The sequence below is a fragment of the Homo sapiens genome, chromosome 20, assembly GCF_000001405.40.
Source record: "Homo sapiens chromosome 20, GRCh38.p14 Primary Assembly".
NCBI lineage: Eukaryota > Metazoa > Chordata > Mammalia > Primates > Hominidae > Homo > Homo sapiens.
The window spans coordinates 54,571,261-54,593,044 of NC_000020.11; the positions used below are offsets into that span (position 1 = coordinate 54,571,261).

Here is a 21,784-nt window from a genome sequence, read left to right on the forward strand (position 1 = left end):
TTTTTGCTGTTTTGTCTGCCTCGCTCTCAGGACCTCCTCTCCTGCCCTCAGGTCCCATTCCCATCCTTCTCATGGTTAAAGGTCAACATGTGTGGCCAAGCCAGCTGGACAAGGCTCAAATCCAGGAGGTGCCATTCTGAGAGATTCCATTTGAGTGGTGCTTCTTATAGTTGTATGAGGCAGCTGCCTTGTTCATTGTCCACTTTTACTATATATAACATCAGCACTGTTGACATTTTGGTTGTGAGAGGCTGTCCTGTGCGTTGTAGGACCTTTGGCAGCATCCTTGGCCTTGACCAACCAGATGCCAGTACATCTTCTCAATTCTGACAGCCAAAAATATCTTCAGACATTGCCAAGTATCTCTGGGGAAGGGGGGTGGGCAAAATCTTCCCCAGACTGAGGACCACTGGCCTGTGGAATCATCTTTCTAGAGCATAAATATGACTGTTCCATTTGCCTGCTTAAGCCTTTTAATTTGCACTCTTCAGATCTTATGATTCACCCTAAACTCCTGAGTGCAGCGTACCAGCCCCTTTAGGATCTAGCTCTGGTCCGTCTGCTCCAGCCTCATGCTCATCAGTTTCCTGTTGCCAACTTCCTCCCATCACTCTTCCCTACGTTTTCATCATACCAAACTCTGTTGTCTTATGATTGCACACGTGTAGTTTCTTTTGCCTGGAAGCTCATCTTTGTTTTCTTTGCCTCATAAACCCGTGCTCATCCTTCGAGACCCATGTTAGGACTAACGAGGCCTAACTCAGAAATGATGGCCTCTCTGACCTTTTTCTCTATATTCATTTGGTGGTTTAGTAAAGAGTTGTTCAATTTTCTGTGTTTGAATTACTGTCTCAGTTATTCACCGTCTGTATGAACAAATTAACCTCTTTATGTTGCAACATTCTTTTTTTTTTTTTTGAGACGGAGTCTCGCTCTGTTGCCCAGGCTGGAGTGCAGTGGCGCGATCTTGGCTCACTGCAAGCTCTGCCTCCCAGGTTCATGCCATTCTCCTGCCTCAGCCTCCCGTGTAGCTGGGACTACAGGTACTCGCCACCACGCCCGGCTAATTTTTTGTATTTCTTTAGTAGAGACAGGGTTTCACCATGTTAGCCAGGATGGTCTCGATCTCCTGACCTCGTGATCAGCCCACCTCGGCCTCTCAAAGTGCTGGGATTACAGGCGTGAGCCACCGCATCCGGCCGCAACATTCTTATATGTACAATGGGAATACAATAGTGCCAGCCAGTTAGATTGGAAAAAAAATTAAATGACATGATTGATATGAGGTGTTCAGAACGTAATACCTAGCATATAATTAAGAAAAAAATTAATGTCAGCCACTGCCGCTATTATTGTTATTATGCTATCATAATATCTTTTTTTTAAGGTTCTACAAATGGCCCACAAGCAACGCAGGCAGCCCCCTTTTTTTTGTAGGTCTTGGGACCTTTGGGAACCATATAGATCAGATTATTAGATCTTTCCCTTTGTATGCTTCTGTTGCACTTGTGCAGACTTGGTCTAAATAATCATTCTCTGGAGTTCGCCTGCCTCTGCCACTAGTTGGGAATGGTCCAACCATGGATGTGTTAATGACATCACTGTGCCTCTCAGCCTTCTTGCTTTTACAGTGTGGATGATGCCAATATTCACCTCTGGAAGTAGAACTTTAACAAGCACCTACTGAGGGTCTACCCTGTATAAAGCATGGTTTTTGGCAATGTGGATTTGGTGGCAAACACAGCAGACGAAATCCTGACCCTACTGCAGTGGGGAATAGAGGGAGGCAGAAAGGAATATATATAAGCAAAATATGTAGAGTATTGGTGTTACTGATAAATGCCAAAGAGAAAATTAAAGCAGGAATAGAGGATAGGAAGTATGGAAGGAGAGGGTTGCAGTTTTAAGCAGAATAATCAGGAATGGTCTCATTGAGAGGGTAATATGCAAGTCACTGATGGTAGGGTGAGAGTGAGCCAATGGCGTAGCTAGAGGAAGTGTTTCCAGGCAAAAGAAGAGCAAGTGCAAAGCCCGGAGCAGGGAGAATGCTTGTTGGGAGTGACAGAAAAAGACCACATAAATGAAATGGATTTCAGTTGGGCTTTAAAGATAAAATAAAGCTGGGCTTTTAAGATAATAAAGTTAGGCGAGGCGCGGTGGCTCATGCCTGTAATCCCAGCACTTTGGGAGGCCGAGGCAGGCAGATCATGAGGTCAAGAGATCAAGACCATCCTGGCTAATATGGTGAAACCCCATCTCTACTAAAAATACAAAAAATTAGCTGGGTGTGGTGGCACATGCGTGTATTCCCAGCTACTTGGGAGGCTGAGGCAGGAGAATCGCTTGAATCTGGGAGGCAGAGGTTGCGGTGAGCCAAGATTGCACCACTGTACTCCAGCCTGGGTTATAGAGGGAGACTCCATCTCAAAAAAAAAAAAAAAAAAAAAAAGGATAATAACGTTGGTTGTGCGTTGACTTCATTTCAGTAGAGTGTCTTCCACGTAATGACCTCTAGCATCACAATAAGGCCATGTTTGCAGAGAGGTATATAGGAGCTTCCTGAAAGTTCCAAAGAGCTGCCCACTAGATAAGCAGAACTTCAGTGTGCAGCTTTAATTCTTCCAACTATGCAAACAGAGCCATTTCTTTTAGAGGAACTCAGAGCGTGTGGGAAGAACACATGCAGTTGGAATATATCCTGAGAAGAGAGAATCAAAGTTTGTTCAGACTGATTTTTCAGGCAGTGCCATCCAACATAATCACATGCTGGAGCCAAAAAGCACATCACTGACAAAGTAGCCTTCTGTCATTTCCTGCATTGCTCCAGGAAAGGCGAGCCGGACCGCCTTCCCCATCTGCTGCAAGTCTCTGTTGAAGGAAGGACGCTGTGCTGCCTGGGGAGGTTTTGAAGGCCCAGCTAATGATGGAATGCAAATGCCGCCAAAAGGCCTGAGAAGCAGAGCATCACCCATATCCCTTCTCAATAGGACTAGATAGACACCTGTATCCACCTCTGCTTGGTTTTCTTCATATCCTTAATAAGTACAGTTTGAACTTGTGGTTGTGATAACAGCCAGCTGGCTATTTCTGCTGAGATACCCATGAAGAGACTGACGATGATGTGACATTTTAATGCCACTGTTCCTTTCTTGAGGAAGCTACCTGAGTGTGTATAGCAGCTCACCTATTGACACATCTGAGTTAAAAGCTGAGGATGAGGATGTCTGTGTGTACAAGGACTATGTGGTGGGCACTGATGTGAGCTAAACAGGCAGAGTAAATTCTAAAGAGTTGAACTTGCTCATATGACTAAATTCAGTAGTTACACATTTTTGAAATTAAATTGAATAGCAATAGTGACTCTAGTAATAATCTGGATCTCTGCAGATTATATTAGTGAAAAGCATTGTGGAGTAGAAACAGGAAAAATGTCCTCAGTCAATGTTTATCTTGAACCTGGCAATCATAGACATGTGGGCTTAGGAGGACAAATTGGGGGATTAAAAAAATAGTATTTTGATGCAGAGGAAAGCCTTAGATGAATGCTAAGACTGTTTGCTGAAATGGTTGGGAAACAGTATAGTCAGGTGATGCCAAAACATCACCTGGCTCTAATGACAATTAGGAAAATTGCTATTTTACTATAAACAGAAATGGCAGCTACCTCCAAGTGATCAAGCTGAGCCTCATTCATGGAGGGATTTTCTGGCATTCTTTGCCTTATGAAGCGATGCCATGTGAAGTCCTCAACATCACTTATAAAGCATTCTTAACAAAAATGTTTATCTGAATCTCATCAAACTTTTAAATGTAACTTCCATTTTAGAAGAAGCACAGGGAATAGAAAAATTAAGGGCACTGTGGAAAAACAGACAGATCTAGAACACGGAACATTCTGCAAGAAAACTAACACGATCTTTTCAACAGGCAGGAATCATTTACAAAATATGGACTTTTCTAAATTAAAGAGACTCAGAGTTACAAAGAAACTCAAGGCATGAATCCTCATGGGATTCTGGATTGGAGTGATGGTGGACAGGCATGGGCACACACACCTTTAGAAAACATTTTGGGGACTTTCAGGGAACTTTGGATATGGGATGGAAGTTAAGTATATGAGGAACTATTGCCTATTTTCTTAGTTGTGTAAATGGCTTTGAAGTGATGTGAGACAACCCTGTTATTTTATTTCATTTTTGAGACAGAGTCTCGCTCTGTCACCCAGGCTGGAGTGCAGTGGTGCCATCTCAGCTCACTGCAACCTCCACTTCCCAGGTTCAAGTGATTATCCTGCCTCAGCCTCCTGAGTAGCTGGGACAACAGGCACCCGCCACCATGCCTAGCTAATTTTTGTATTTTTAGTAGAGGTGGGGTTTCACCATGTTGGCCAGGCTGGTCTCAGACTCCTGACCTCAAATGATCCACCCACCTTGGCCTCCCAAGGTGCTGGGATTACAGGCCAACTGTGTTATTTGTAAGAAATATTTGCTGGAGTTGTACAGATAAACTATATAATTTACTTTCAAATCATTTAACCAAAAGCAAGTGTGTGCACGTGTGTGAACATGCACATGCATGTGAACACTCATTACATTTATATATAAAGAGAGGATAAATCCAAAAATAAAAGTAGCGAATCTTAATAATTGTTCATCCTAAGTAGAGGATACATTAGTGTTTGTTGCATCATTCTTTTAGTTTTTCCATATTTGAAAATCTTAAAAATAAAATTTTGGAAAAGAAAATCATGAACACAGAGTTCCTGGAGAAACGATCAGAGGCAGAAAACAAAGAATACCTTTTAAAAAAATGAAGCATGAAAAGAATTAGAAAGAATAAAAGAGGACTGAAAATATTCCCAAAATGTCAGTCATAATAATTAGTTTAAATTGATTTAACATCTATATCAAAAGACGATGCCTTAGATTGGATAAAAGTATAATAATCCAACTTCGTATTTCTTAAAATCAGTTATATGTTTCTATAAGAGATACATATAAGATGAAAGCAAATAAAAATTTAAAATAAATTTTAAATAAATAAAATGGTCATTCACATAGAAGACTACTGCTCAGAAGCCAAAACTTCTTATATCTTCAACTGCAAAGATGAATCTCACAGACATGATATTGGACGAATGAATCCAGACACACACACAAAAATATGATATTCTATTTATATAAAAAGTTTTTAAAAGAAGGAATAATCAATGGTGATAGAGGTCAGAATGGTAGTTTTATATGTGGGCCATAATGACCAGGAAGGGGTGGAATTGACTGAAATTCTTTTTATATGTTCCTCTATATGGTTACCACACAGTTGTGTAACGAGTGAAGATTCACTGAACTGCGGTCTTGAGATTTCTGTTCTTTACTATATGTGCTTTGCCACAGGACCTGGCATGCCGATTCCTATGCTGTGTGTCTTAAATTTCATTTGAGTGGCAGCCTGCGTGGGCTTTAAACCATGGTGCCATATGTACCCACATAAAACCAAGTGGTTTTGAGAAGCTGAGTTTTCTTTCACATCTTAAAGTCCAAGTAGGAAAGATGAGTTTAGTTCAGGCTGCCTTCTTTTGAATTGACAAGTACTTTATTTTTACTTAGAAATTAAGATTTGCATTCGTTTTTTCGCATTTCCAAGTGGTGTACTTTTAAAGATGCAGTTTATGATTTTCAGAAATATTCTTTAACATATTTGTCTCTAAGACCATTTGCATCTTTAATTTTATTCATTTGCTCATTTACTGAGCCTGTCAGGGATTCATTCATATGTTATTATTTGATTTTTAAGGAACACTTGCTGTGGAGAGTAGTATTAGGAAAAACATACTTGTTTTAGAAGCTGGAAGTTCTAGATTTGAGTATGGCTCCATCCCCTCCTTTCTATGAAATTATAATTAAGTTACTTCTTTGATTTTCACTTTATTGATCCTTGTAATGGGTTTAATAATAGTTTACCAAGGATGTTATATCATCCAGAGAATTTAGTATCACTTTAAAATCATTCAGTATTCTGTGTTTGATTAAAGTGAATAGGCTTCTTTCTTGAGAAGTAGATTTATAATTGTTACTATTGGGAAGAGGATTCGAGTGGAATTCATTTCTTTATTTCCTTATACTAGCTCCGCATCCATATAATGGGTCAGTGTGTTAGATTTCCTTTGAAAATTAAAAAGAAAAAATGATTCAACTGCTAAAATAAAACTGATAGCCAATGTTCTAGTACAGTTTCCTGATTATTAGGAATTTGGCTAGGAAATCTGGTCTTCATACAAGAAGCAATATTGTTACACAATGGGATTTGAGAGAAAACTCTATGAAAATCCTTGGCCAAAAGGAAATCAAACAGAGGGTGTATTAGCCAATGTCTGCTGTGGCAATAATTCCAAAATCTTAACAGTTTACAGCAACACATCTTTATCTCTCACTCTTGTTACATGAGGGGTCTGGATTGATTGGCTGTGAGTGTACTGAATGCATCTCAACTCAGCTGAGGTTCACCTGTGTTCAGAAATCCAGGAAGGAGGGCAATGTTGTTCTCATGGTGGAGAGTTGAAGCTCAAGGAGGGAGGGACTGACCTAATTACATGCACTTAAAGCACATTAACTCACACTGTATTGGCCAAAGCAAGTTGCATGGCCAAGTCCAAAGTCATAGGAAACAGTTGCAAGGGCTGAGAGGGAATGAATGATTCTTGATAGATAACTCAATCTAGGACAAAAAATGAAGGTTGCTGTGAGCTGCAGAATGTGCCTTTGGTTTGATTTACATATCCCCAAATCCTAGGGAGAGAATCATTTTTGCCAAACTTTATCTTTACTGAATCTTTTCCAACCTCCAGGATCACAAGTATACTTCATGCATTAAAAACCTTCCCAAAGTTCATTATCTTTTACCACTATGTGCTGTGAATTCTGAGGTAGCCTATGATAATTTCTGTAAGAAATTACTTCAGGATGTCAAAAATCAGATTAAATATAGAATTAAGCTGGGATTTTGAAATTTAATACCCATTTTTTTGAGAAAATCAAGTATTTCAAAGGTCCTAATACTGACATTTTTAGTAAGCCGTATAGACACTTCCGGTCTTCTTTGATAGCTACAAATTTTAGCTCCATTTCAAGAGAAAGAACTCTGGAACCTAAGCCTAAATATATCCTGAAAAAAGAAAAGAAAGTTGAGGAATTGAGAAGAGTCAAATGATTAATTTGAAGGAGTAACCAGGCAGGTAACAGCCCAGAAAATACACAGAAGTTATTTTGATTTTCTAACTTGGCCTGCTGTTGTTTTGGCAGAAAGATCGTGTGCAAGGATATCTAAAAATAAATAACTCTATTTACATACCATTTTTAATAATAAAATTTGACTTCTCTTCTTTTCTGTTATCAAAACTCTTTCTGTTAGTAATGAAAATTTATAATTGCATCTCCTTTAGAAAATTTATAATTGTGTCTCCTGTTTCGTTGCAACAGCTATTTTGTCCTTTAAATCATAATTCTCAGACATATTTCAGGTTTCAGTCATGGAGCTTGAAATGCTTTATTTTCTTTGTTGCTTGCGGAATACAATCATGAAATGGGCAAAAAAGCACAAGGAAAACAAATGGCCCTATTGAGATGAGTGGTCTTTAAGATATCAAATGGGAATCAGATCATCACCCAGTTTCTGTTAAAATCTATTGTCATTCCTCTGCTAAGCAAATGAGACTTGTTCTGGGTGATTATATGACATTATTGTTTGTATGCTGTACTGTTGACTCAGTAGGAAATTATATGAAGAAAAGTCAATTTCATAGCAGTAGTATTAGATTAACAGTATCTTTCCTGACTTTTAGGCATTTGTCATTTATTTATTATTTTTTGCCATAATCAGTATCATCTTTACTCTTACGAATATTTTGTTTTAAATCAGGTTGGTTTTTGTTTAAATAAATTTACAATAAGAGAAAACTTTTCTTATTACCATATTACCATTAATACAAGAACAGTATCACTTGCCATGAATAGAAATTAACTTAATAAAAAAATACAATGGATAGAAAATAATATTTTAAAATTCTGAGTATCTTTTGCTGCCTAAAAGTTGTGTGTGTGCTTGTGTGTGTGTGTGTGTTGGCAGGGGGTGAGGCACAGTGGTTAAAGAACACATAACATAAGACTTACCCACTTAACAAACTCTTAAGTGTACAGTGCAGTATTGTTAATTACATGTACATTGTTTTATAGCAGATCTCTAGGGCTTTTTTAAATCACGTGTGACTAGAATTCTATATTCGTTAAACAGCAACCTCCCATTCCCCTCTCCCTGCAGTCCCTGGAAACCACCATCCTATTTTCTGTTTCTATGAGTTCAGCTACTTTAGATAACCTCATATAAGTGGTAACCATGCAGTATTTGTCCTTTCGTGATTGTCTTCACATAGCATAATGTTTTCAAGGTTCATCCGTGTTGGAGCATATGACAGAATTTCCTTCTTTTTTAGGGTGGGATAATAGTATATGGTATATGTATACATTTTCTTTTTTTATATATATATACTTTAAGTTCTGGGGTACATGTGCAGAATGTGCAGTTTTGTTACATAGTATACACGTGGTGTGGTGGTTGGCTGCACCCATCAACCTGTCACCTACCTTAGGTATTTCTCCTAATGCTATCCCTCCCCTAGCCCTCCATCCCCCGACAGGCCCTGGTGTGTGATGTTCCCCTCCCTGTGTCCATGTGTTAGCCTTGTTCACCTCCCACTTAGGAGTGAGAACATGCGGTGTTTGGTTTTCTTTCTTGTGACAGTTTGCTGAGAATAATGGTTTCCAGCTTCATCCATGTCCCTTCAAAAGACATGAACTCATCCTTTTTTATGGCTGCATAATATTGCATGGTGTATATGTTCCACACACAACTTTACAAGAAAAAAACAAGCAACCCCATCAAAAAGTGGGCAAAGAATATGAAGAGACACCACATTTTCTTTATCCATTTATCTGTCAATGGATAATTAGGTTATTTCCCTGTTTTGACTATTGTAAATAATGCTGCCATAAACATGGAAGTGAAAAGATCTCTTCAAGACCTTGTTTTCAATTTTTTTGAATAAATACTCAGAAGTAGGATTACTGAATCATATAGTAGTTCTGTTTCTAATTTTTTGAGGAACCTCCACACTCTTTCCCTAAGTGGCTGCACCTTTTTACATTCCCATCGAGAGCACACAAAGTTTCCAATGTCTCCACATCCTTGCTAACACTTGTTATCTTTTAGGTCTGTGGGGTTGTTTTTTTCTGATAATAGCCATCCTAAGAGATAGGAGGATGTGGTTATGGTTTTCATTTGCCTTTTTCTGATGATTAGTGATGTTGAGAATCTTCTGATATATCCATTGGTCAGTGTATGTCTTCTGTGGAGAAATGTCTATCTTTGAATAGACATTTGCCCATTTTAAAATTGGCTTATTTATTTTTACTTTTATTATTTTTGCTATTGAGTTATACGAATTTCTTATATATTTTGGCTATTAACCCTTTATCAAGGATATGGTTTGCAGATATTTTTCTCATGCTATAGGTTGCCTTTTCACTCTGTTGATTGTTTCTTTTCTATGTATAAACTTTTTAGTTTGATGTAGTCCTACTTGTCTATTTTTGCTTTCATTGCCTGTGTTTTTGGTCTCATATCCAAGAAATCACTGTCAAGACCACTGTCATAAAGCCTTTTCCCTCTGTTTTATTCTAGGAGTTTTATAGTTTCAGGTCTTACATTTAAGTCTCTAATCCATTTTGAATTGATTTTTTGTTTATGGTGAAGTAAGGGTACAATTTCATTATTTTTCATATGGATATACAGATTTTGTAGCATCATTTGTTGAAAAGCCTATCATTTTCCTGTTGTATAAACTTGGCACCCTTGTGAAAGACCATTTTATTGTATAAGCATCAATTTATTTCCAGGTTCTCTTTCTGTTCCATGTGTCTGTATGTTTGCCTATGTGCCAGTACCATATTATTTAGATTATTGTAGCTTTGTAGTATATTTTGAAGCAACTCTGGCTTTGTTCTTTTATGTTGATTGTTTTGACTATATAAGGTTCTTTGTGTTTTCATATGAATTTTAGCTTTGCTTTTCCTATTTCTGAAAAAAAAAAAAGCTCCTGGGATTTTGATAGAGATTACATTGAATCTGTAGATCATTTTAGATTGTATGTTAAGTCTTTTTTTTAACAATGTTAATTTTAACAATGTTAAGTCTTTCAATCTATGAAAACAGGATGCCTTTCAATTTATCTGTGTCTTTTAAAATGAATTTCTTCAGTGTTTTCTAGTTTTCAGTGTACAAATATTTCATCCACTTGGTTATATTTATTCCTAAATATTTTGGGTTTTTTGATGCAATAGTAAGTGAGATAATTTTCTTAATTTTCTTTTGGGATTGTTTATTGTTAGTGTATAGAAATACAACTGATTTTTTATGTTGATTTTGTATCGTGCCATTTTACTGAATTTGTTTATTTGTTCTAACTTTTTTTGTGTGTAGATAGAATCTTTAGGGTTTTCTACATATAAAATTATGTCATCAACAAATGGAGATAATTTTACTTCTTCTCTTCAGATATTGATGCCTTTTACTTCTCTTTCTTGTCTAATTGCTCTAGCTAGGAATTCTATTACCTTGTTGAATAAATGTGGTGATAGTTGGCACCTTTTGACTTGCTCCTGATCTTAGGAAAAAAAAATGTTTTCATTTTTCACCATTGAGTATATGGTCTTCATCATGTTGAAGTAATTTTTTTCTACTCCCATTTTGTTGAGTGTTTTTATCATGAAATGTATTGAAATTTGTCAAATGCCTTTTCTGCATCTGTTGAGGTGATGATATACTTTTCATCCTTTCTTCTGTTAATGTGGTGTATCCATCTTGCTATGTAGAACCCTTGTATCTGAGAGATAAACCCCACTAGATCATGATATATTATCCATTTAATATGCTGCTGAATTCAGTTTGCTAGTATTTTATTGAGAAATTTGCATGTATATTCATCAGTGATATTGGCCAGTATTTTTCTTTTCTTGTAGTGTCTATATCTGGCTTTGGTATCACAGTAATGTTGGTCTCACAGAATGAATTTGGAAGCGTTCCTTCCTCTTCAGTTTTTTTGAAGAGGTTGAGAAGAATTTGCATTAATTCTTCTTTAAATGTTTTGTGGAATACACCAACATTTCTTCCAACAAAGAAATACACAAAAAGCCATCTGATCATGTGTATTTCTTTGTTGGAAGATTTATGATTAATTATTGAATCCCTTAATAGTTACAGGTTTGTTCCAAGTTTCTATTTCTTCATGATTCAGTCTACGTAGGTTGTATGTTTCCAGAAATTTATCTACCTCTTCTAGGTTATCCAAGCTGTTGACTTTTTCTTGGTGTATCATCATTCATGGTAGTCTCATAATCCTTTTCATTTCTGTGGCATCAGAAGTAGTATCTCCTTTCATTTCTGATTAGACTCCACTTATTTTCCTTAACCTAGCTATTTGTCAGTTTCATTGATCTTTCAAAAACCAATTCTTGGTTTCACTGGTTTTTCCTAGTGCTTTTCTATTCTCCATTTCATTTAGTTCTAATCTAATTTTTATTATTTCCTTTCTTCTTATTATTTTGGGCATAGTTTGCTCTGTTTCTAGTTCCTTGGGGTGTAAATTTAGGTTGTTTACTTGAGGTATCTCTTCTTTTTTAATGTAGGAATTTACCATTATAATCTTCTTTTTTAGTATTGCTTTTGCTACCTCACACAAATTTCGGTATGCTGTGTATTTGTTTTCATTCAGCTCAGGGTATTTTCCAAATTCCCTTTTGATTCCTTCTTTGATCTATTGGTTGTTTAAGATTGTGCTGTTTAATTTCCACATACTGTGATTTTTTTTCAGTTTTCCTTCTGTTATTGTTTTTTAGTTTTATTCCGTGGTGGTTGGGAAAGATACTTAATTCTGTTATTATTTTTTAGTTTTATTCTATTGTGGTAAGGAAAGATACTTCAATTTGTCAAGACTTGTTTTGTTACCTAACACATGATCTATCCTATGTGCACTTAATAAGAAAGTGTATTCTGCTGCTATTGACTGTATTTGTCCGTTAAGTTTAATTGGTCTTCAGTGTTGTTCAAGCACTCTGTTTTCTTTCTTATATAATCTTTGGATGTCCTATCCATTATTGAAAGTGGGGTATTGAAATCTCCTACTATTATTGTGTTGCTTTCTCTTTCTCTCTTCAATTCTATCAATCAATGTTTACTTCATATATTTGGTTGCTCTGGTATGGGATACATATATATTATAATTGCTATATCTTACTAGTTAATTCATCTTTTTTTCATTATAGTGTCCTTCTTTGTCTCTCATGATAGTTTTTGACTTAAAGCCTATTTAATCTGATATAAGTATTGCCACCCCTACTCTTCTTTTGACTGCTGTTTCTATGGGTTATCTTTTTCCATTTTTTCACTCTCAGCCTATGTGTGTCCTTAAATCTAAAGTGAGTCTCTTGTAGACAGCATATCGTTGGACCTGGTTTTTAATTTATCTTTTGATAGGGCAGTTTAAGCTATCTCCATTTAAAGTAATTACTGCACCAGGCATAGTGGCTCATACCTGTAATCCTAGCACTTTGGGAGGCTGAGGCGAGTGGATCACTTGAGGTCCCAACATGGCAAAACCTTGTCTCTACTAAAAATACAAAAAAAAAAAAAAATTAGTCGAGCACGGTGGTGCACACCTATAGTCTCAGCTGCTCAGAAGGCTGAGGCAGGAGAATTGCTTGAACCCAGGAGGCAGAGGTTAGCTGAGATCACACCACTGTGCACAAGCCTGGGTGACAGAGTGAGCCTCTGTTTAAAAAATAATAATAAATAAATAATAAAAATAAATAAATATTGATAGGAAATGATTACTTTTATCATTTTATTGTTTTCTGTATTTCTTGTAGCTCTTTTGTCCTTATCTTTTTCTCTTGCTGTCGTATTTGTGATTTAAAAAATTCTTTAGGGTCATATTTTGATTCCTTCCTCATTTTCTTTTGTGTGTCTCTTATAGGTATTTCTTTTCTGGTTGCTGTGGGGCTTATATAACACATTTTATAGTTATGATCATCTATTTTAAGATGATAACAACTTGACTTCAATCACATACAAAAGCTGAACTATTCCACCAGACTCCTTTATGTTATCATTGTAACAAATTTCATCTTTTTATTATGTATCCATTAACATAATTTTATAGTTTTTATACTTTTATCTTTTTACTTCTATATCAAAATTAAAAGCTGTTTATACAATATTCGTAACATTACATGTAATGTAATGTTATAGTACTATAATATGTATTTGTGTGTTTGTATATATGTATATATACTATAATATATATTTGTATGTGTGTGTATATATATATAGTACTATAATATGTACTCGTGTGTGTGTGTATATATATATACACTATAATATGTGTGTGTGTATATATATCTAGATATACACACACACACACACACACACACCTTTTCCAGTAAATTATATATTTTCATTTGCTTTCATGTTACTATCTGGTGTCCTTTCATTTCAACTTGAAGAACTTCCTTTAGCATTTCTTATAAGGCAGATTTCTTTGTAAGAGGACTATTATGTCTTGCCTTGGTTTTCTCATTTGCAAAATAGAATGATAGTGGAAATAAATACATCTTTGAAAAGTTTTATGTGACTTGTAAATATCTCTGCAAAATTTAGTTATCATAAGTATTACTTTACTTTATTACTAAATTACTAAATTATTACTATACTTTAGCATGTGTATTGAGGAAGTTTCCATTATCACATTATGAATTAGTGTAGATTGCAAGGCTTGTGTGTGTTGTGTATGTGTGTGTGTTGTGTGTGTGTGTGCACATGCCCACTAGGTGTAGTTCTGAGGTAGAGACAGAGACCGTTGCTTTAAAATTTGATTGTCCTTTGACCCATAAAATTATGACCCTGGCTGCTCTGGGAATGGTCATTTGCTTCTCCTGAGCGGGGGTGTTCAGTTGCTGATTTCCTAAACCAATTTCCTAAATGGGTAATTGTGTTCTGACTCATACAATTCCCCCTACATTTCCTGACTATTTCAGGTGACTATCTCTTCCTCTTTGCCCTTAATGGATAGGTAATGAAGTCACATGTTTCAAAGTCATTGCTGTGTTTCAGGCTGGGGTGGACTACTCTTACATAATGTCTCACTAGAGAGTCAGAATAAAGTTGGCACACGTGCTCTACCTCCACCTCAATTTTTAACCATGTTGAAAAGAAAGAAGTCTTAAAATGAGAGGTGGCTTTCAGGGGCTAAAGAGCCTCTGGTTGAAAGTGTTTAGTTAGTCATTAGTGTTTCAGATGCATTAAAAGCACAGGCTTTAGGGTTAGTTTGCTTCATTTTTTAAGCTGTGAACTTGGTTGTATGACTTTAACCTTTCGCAGTCTAGTTTCCTCATCTGTGAAAAAGGTGATAATAGTAATATTTATTTCACAGAGCTTTTATGAAGATCAAATGAGATAGTCTCTATAAAAATGCTGGCCGGGTGCAGTGGCTCACGCCTATAATCCCAGCACTTTGGGAGGCTGAGGCGGGCAGATCACCTGAGGTCAGGAGTTTGAGACCAGCCTGGCCAAAATGGTGAAACCCTGTCTCTACTAAAAATACAAAAAAATTAGCTGAGTGTGGTGGTGGGCGCCTGTAATTCCAGCTACTCGGGAGGCTGAAGCAGGAGAATCGCTTGAACCTGGGAGGTGGAGGTTGCAGTGAGCTGAGATCAGCGTGGGCAACAGAGAAAGACTCCATCTCAAACAACAACAATAAACTAGGCACGTTATGTGGCATATGTGTGGGGACCAATGCATGTTGGCATCAGTATGATTGTTTTCATTGATTCAGCCCTTCAGTAAGTCATTGCTGGCAACTCAAGTCTAGCTGGGTGCTGCAGAGAGACAACAAATAATACAGTAGAGCTTCATGCAGCATTTATGAGAATAGAGAGAAGAGAAATGTTAGTTGACACTAAGGCCAGGGCACATTTCCTAGAGGAAGTGGACCTTGGGGGAAAAGTGAAATTTCCCTGGAGAAAAGAAGCAGGAAAGAGAGGCATTTGCCTTCTAGAAGCACCATACAAGTAAATTTATGGGTGAGTTGGGTCTTTCATTCATATAGTCCACTTATAATTATTGAGTTCTCAATATGTGAGGGGTTCTGTGTTTGACTCAGGGAGCACAATGATGAGCAGAGCAAAAACAAAACAAAACAAAAACTATTCCTGCCCTATGTAACTCTCACTTTTCAGGCAAGATGGGTGTGAAACCAATAACAAATAGGAAAGGTATAGGACATCATTGGATGGTGTAGCCTTGAGACTGACTAGGTGTTAGGATGGGAGGTGTCCAGTGGGGCCTCTGTGGGTAACTGAGATTTAAACTGAGACCCATGTGGGAATGGGAGTGAGGTAAGGAGAGATAGAGAAGGCCCTGTGCCAGGAGAACCACAGTGTCTTCTGGGAACTGAACAAAGTCCACGGTGGCTGAGACATAGAGCACATGGGAAAGGTATAGAGAGGACAGTGGTGAGATAGCGTGGGCAAGACCACAGGGGGTCTTGGTGGTCATTCTAAGGATGCAGGCTTTTGTCCCACGTGCAATGGGAAGTCACTGAAGTGTTCTGTTTATGCACAGTAATATTTCAAGACTTATGTTTTGAAAAAAAAATCTGCTATGTGCAGCATGCATTAATGGGGATTAAAATGGAAGTGGAAAGATCAATAAGTAGTTGTGACAAGATGATAGTGGCTTGAATTGGGGTAGTGGCAAAAAATAAAAATAAACAAACACATCAACAGTTGTATCTGGTGAGTCCTGAGGCACTTGGTGTAGTTGGAGAATAAGATACATGGTGCTGAGTCACTGACGTGATCGGTTTGGGCACTTTTTGAGGAGAAGTGGTGTGACATTTCATGCTAAGAAATTTGCATTTATACTATGAAAAGGGCTGATGGAGATTAAGAAGCAGAGAAATGAAATAATCAGATTAGTGTTGTGCATGGAGGATATTTATTTCACTTCCCACCTACTGCTTGAGCTAAGCATTTATTGAATTTAGAGTAACAGACGAGAGAAACGGAACAACATCATTGCAGGCAAAGATTGATGGAAAGTGGATTCTTTTGTATAACAGCACAAAAGAGATATATGAAAGGGAGGTTAAACTTGTCAGTGTGAAAAGCTATTGATCTTGTAAATACTTACCCTGAAGCCACCTAAGGCTTCGCTCAGGCATGACCCAAATATTCCAAACCTCCAATGCAGCTGAGGATGCGGATGTAACTGGATGAGAGATGACCACTGTGGAAATATAATGAGCCAAGACACTTTGTGGGAAGGGAGGGGTTTACAAAAGTGTTAAAGGAGCCAAGGAATTATGGGAGAGAGGGAGGAGAGAGAGAACGTCTAGTGGGGATGGCTTTCCTCCCTGCTAGGAAGAAGGCGCCACTGGGTAGTGTTCTCAGAGCCTAAAACAGAGGCCCTGTAACCACTGAGGAGCTAGGAGTAAGTTAGAGACAGTGGGAAAATATTTGGAAAACCAAATTCATTATGTACTTTCTATGATTTGGACCTCAAGTCAGGGGTCGTTTCTGAGACTCTTGACGCTGTATCTCTGACTGGTAAAGAGTGAAATAATCTAGTTATGAATTGGACCACTCTTCCTTCCCTTCCCTTCCTTGGGTTGATGTATTTAAGACACTTACATGGGGAATACTCTGAAGGGATGGAATATTTGGAGGCTTTTGCAGCCAGCTGAGAAAGAAGGCTGTCCACAGAGACCGAAACAGACATAAGAACTATTGGTCAAGTGGAGTCTTTGGGAGGATTTGAAAAACTAAAGAAAAAAGAAAAACCAAAATGTTCTACCTCTGTGAAGTTTTAAGCTTGTTCCACTTAATACGTTTCAGAAAATTTAATAAGGAAAGATAATTTGTTAACCATCCTTGCGGTGTGTTACAGATAATACTAAACTCACTTAAATACATCTTAGCTTTCAGATGTAGATACTTTTTCAACAGGTTGTGCTCAGCTGTGCTGTGCCATACTGATTTCCGGGCCTCACCTTTGGTGTTGTATACTGGAGACATTCATTCAGGGAGTGTGTCAAACTTCTAATTGTTCATTTTCAGGTTACAGAACTCAATAATGTGAAGAACGTAGCTCGATTGCCAAAAAGCACCAAGAAACATGCCATAGGGATTTATTTCAATGACGATACCTCCAAGACTTTTGCTTGCGAATCAGGTTTGTCTCAGGCAGGGCTGGGGGGCTTTTGCTTTTAGATTCTGAATGGATGCTGGGCACACAGTTTAATCTTTTTGACATTTCCACAGATCTTGAGGCTGATGAGTGGTGCAAAGTACTCCAGATGGAGTGTGTAGGAACACGGATCAATGACATCAGCCTTGGAGAGCCTGACTTACTGGCCACTGGGGTTGAGAGAGAACAGAGTGGTATGTAAAGAAAATTCTCTCCTCTCTCTTTCAAAACTGCTTCTGTCTCCATATGATAAAACATAAGACATCTTCATTATGTAAAGTTTTTGGGGTATAAAAATGTATAAAGAAATAAGTAATCTTTTATCTAATCCACAACCTGTGTTAACATTTCAGTGTATTTTTTTCTTATTCTTTTTCCAATTCATAACATGAATGTATCTACATTAATAATATCAGTTAGAAATTTTGGGGAACCTGCTATGTGCCAGTTTGGTGGAAGATGCTTAACTCATCTCAGATTATTTATTGTACTTTTCATAGCAGCCCTATGGTGTAGGTATAATTACTTCCTACGTTTTGCAGATGAGGAAACTAAAATTTAGAGGACGTAAAGACTTTCCTTCAATTCTGTTAGCTCACTAGTGTTTGATTCTAGACGATACCGTTGGACCTATATTACAGTTTACAGATTTTAAAATGTCATGGGCATTTTTTGGTCATGCCTTTTTCACTTAAAATGTTATCAACAACTTTCCAATGTTTTCAATATAATTCAAACTTTATGACTATTTCACCAAATTTAAACCCATCTAAAATCTGTAATTAAAAAAATACATATTTTATTGAAACACTTGAGCCAACTCTGAGCTCAGCAGTCAATCTGGGAATCAATAATTTAAAATAATAATGACTAAAATATTCATGAACACTTCAGCAAAAATCAGTGTTGATTTACAGAACAAACCTGGATGTGAGGAATCATTCCTTTGTCTCCTAACAGCTGAGCCTGGGGACGGGGTAGATCAGATCACAGAGTTCTGCTGTAGGCTGACTTGATCTATGAGGGCATGTCACCATGGAAAGGTCTGTGGGTCATCTGGTTTGATTACGGACATGGCAGAGATGGAATTGTACTGACTTTTTCTGTAGGTGCACACTCCAATGTTAGTAAAAAAAATGCTGTCCCTCCCAATTGGAACTATGTCTTCATGACACATTTACAATCTGTGACTCTTTGGATGCACCATATCTGCCATAACCCATCTCCATGGAAATGTTATTGACCGAGACCTAGAAGCCCTGGGTAATTCAGAGGAGCCTCTTTGTAGATTGGAAAATTGAGCTACAGAGAGGTTAAGTCATTGACGGGGTTACACAACCAATCCCCAGGCTCCTCCTTCTCTGGTTCACTAAATCAGGACACCCCAGGCAGAGAGGATACCTAGGAGCCAAGCATAAAGAAAACCTGGCAGGTTTTGATTATGATTCATTTTTTCACCTAGAGTGCTCAGATCAGCACTTTTCACAAATTTGTATTTGGGGAAGCAGTATCCTGACAGCACCACAATCTGAATTTAAAAATTGGCGGTGCGTAGGAGATACCTTTCCCACAGCAGCTTTCTGTGCCTCAGTTTCCTCTTCTGTTAAATGGAAATAATAGCTCTGGTCTACAAGTATCAGGGATTATTATAAATTCAACTGTGTCCTCTCAGGCCCTTTCCAATGTTAATTAGTATGACTTCAAATGATTGTAATTAAAATGGTCACTCCACCATTATTGCTATTACTCTTTTTAAATTTTTATTATTATTTTTTCCCTATCTCTCCCCTATTGTTATTCTTGAGTGAGGTAGGACTCAGAGAACTTCTAAGCAAATAGATTGATAATGATCTCTCTTACTTTTTACTTAATATAGACAGTCTTTCTTACTTGGAACTTTCAAGGGGGGGGAATATGCTCAATTAGAATACATTTTTAAATATGATTACTAGAAATCAACAAATATTTGTTTATTGAGAATATGAAATAATTAAAAATTTTTGAATAGTAGATCGCGGAACACATTTCATGAACACTATCTCAGCATTACTATTTACTAAATTCAACTAAAATCTATGAAAATTCAAATGACTATCTTATCATAAAACAATGTATTTAGAATACCACTAATATAAAATTGTTAATGCCACATTGTCGTATGTAGGCAATCTACCATAATGATGCATAGGTGGAAATATGTTTGCTATAGTAATATTTTTGTTCATTTTTCACTGAAAGACTTTGACTCAAAAACTTCTTAATGAATTTTCCAGAAATATAACAGAAATATGGTGACTGTATCTGCAGGGATGAAAATTAGGTTAATCAGCCAAGCAGTTTATGTAGAATAATTTTGGTTGCATTTTAGCAATCATCCAAATATGCAATGAATATTTCTTTCCACTATTTGGCTAAAGGAAGTTCTTTGTTGAAACTAGTTCAAATATATGCATTGGCATTTTCCCAAATTGTTGGCCAGTTAAGTGCATAGTATTACTGTGGCATTTTGTTTAAATGATTGAAATACAGTTTTATTCATTTAGTTATAGAAATTACAAGTTGATCAATATAACTTTAATAACATGGAACCATGACATAATTGTTTTGCACCTGCATCTTTTGTGAGCACAAAAGTGTGGATCTAGTTAATGTGTTCTTGGCAGGAAAAAAAAATTGCTTTTAATGGTTGTATTGCTTTAGTCTTTTATTGGCATATACATTTTTATTATGCAAATTTAAAAATTCTAAAAATGGTCTTCGCTCATGTAAATAGTGCTTAGTGTATGTTGACAGGCTGTATCATTATTATGTTATTTAATAGGATCTGCATTTAAGAAATTATTTTCTGGGACTGTTAATTAATAGGAAAGGTTTATCTTTCTGAATATGCAACCGAAATCTAGAATGTGAACTTGAATTGTTTTTAAATGCCTCTATGTTCCTACAATGTCTTTGATGTTTTATTCCTGGGGATTTTAGACTAACCTTTTGTTTTTCTCCCAGAGAGATTCAATGTGTATTTGATGCCATCTCCTAACTTAGATGTACATGGCGAATGTGCCTTGCAGATTACATATGAGTATATCTGTCTTTGGGACGTCCAGAATCCCAGAGTCAAACTCATCTCTTGGCCGCTAAGCGCCCTGCGGCGGTATGGACGTGATACTACGTGGTTCACTTTTGAGGCAGGGAGGTGAGTTTAATGACTTTTAATGACTATTTTTCTGTTTGTGTGTGTGTGTGTTCATTTTTACCATGCTCGCATCATATGAGGCGGTAGGTTTACATATGAGATCCAGCTGAAGTACACTTGAGGAAATTCATAGAGTTGCGATTACATAATATGAGGGGTCTTGTGAAATATTTATATACTCAACATGGCTTTTCTCCCCTGTGGAAGATTTTAATGTTTCACACACATGGTACAAATTTTCATTACACAGTTTGATTCCATATCACAAACTGAAGTTGATCCAGGTAAAAATGTTAAAAAGGTACCATTTCCTGGGTCAAGCTGAACAGAGGCCAGCTTCTTGATTTTGGAAAACTTCCATATTATTATTTCACATATGTTTCCTCATCTGAGCTAACTGTGGTAGATTATTAATATGAGGGCCCATGGAGTTTTTACCAGCTGCAATTTCTTGAGTTCCATCTATTTGGCTTACAGTGTAAGGATTCTCATGAATACTGAAAGAGATTAATGCTAAAACTTGCTCTTTGTGATACCGACTAAGCACTTTCCGGGTTTTCTCTTTTTCCTCTTAGGGGTTAATCTGGGAGAGATTAACCAGATAGTATAGTAACCAAGCCAGTAGTATATGGATTGGTTGCTACCTACAAAAAGATTCCTCTAGCCATAATCCTATTTTCCTTGTCCTTCAGTTTTCCCTCAGAATTTAGGCTTCGTTTGGGAACACTGCAGGTAATTTTTTTTTTTTTTTTGAGATGGAGTCTCGCTCTGTCACCCAGGCTGGAGTGTAGGTGGCACAGTCTCGGCTCACTGCAAGCTCCGCCTCCCGGGTTCACGCCATTCTCCTGCCTCAGCCTCCTGAGTAGCTGGGACTACAGGTGCCCGCCACCACGCCTCGCTAATTTTTTTGTATTTTCAGTAGAGATGGGGTTTCACCGTGTTAGCCAGGATGGTCTCGATCTCCTGACCTCGCGCTTCGGCCTTCCAAAGTGCTGGGATTACCGGCGTGAGCCACCACGCCCGGCCAGATAAATTTTCTATTTTAGAATTTTAAATGCCTAAATTTTAAGAAATATAAGTTCTTCTGTATATGGCCTGACATTACACTCAAATTGAAAACCATTAACTTGTGATGTTAAATAAAAATTGCTTGTAAAAGCAGACAGTTATTCCTGACAGGAATATGACTCTTGATATAAGGAAAGTAAAAACTGAAGTTCTAAATACCCCAATCCATGT

General features: G+C 37.2%; 1 protein-coding gene across 4 annotated transcripts in view; it reads left to right on the forward strand.

Moving 5' to 3' along the window:
* The window catches only part of DOK5 (docking protein 5), a 175,577-nt gene that overhangs the window by 95,668 nt on the left and 58,125 nt on the right, over positions 1–21,784 (forward strand). For all 4 annotated transcript variants that reach the window (NM_018431.5, NM_177959.3, XM_011528904.2 and 1 more), the window contains exons 3-5: positions 17,223–17,337; positions 17,427–17,546; positions 20,356–20,545. In NM_018431.5, the coding sequence (NP_060901.2) occupies positions 17,223–17,337; positions 17,427–17,546; positions 20,356–20,545 (425 nt within the window). The remainder of the gene's footprint in view (positions 1–17,222; positions 17,338–17,426; positions 17,547–20,355; positions 20,546–21,784) is intronic.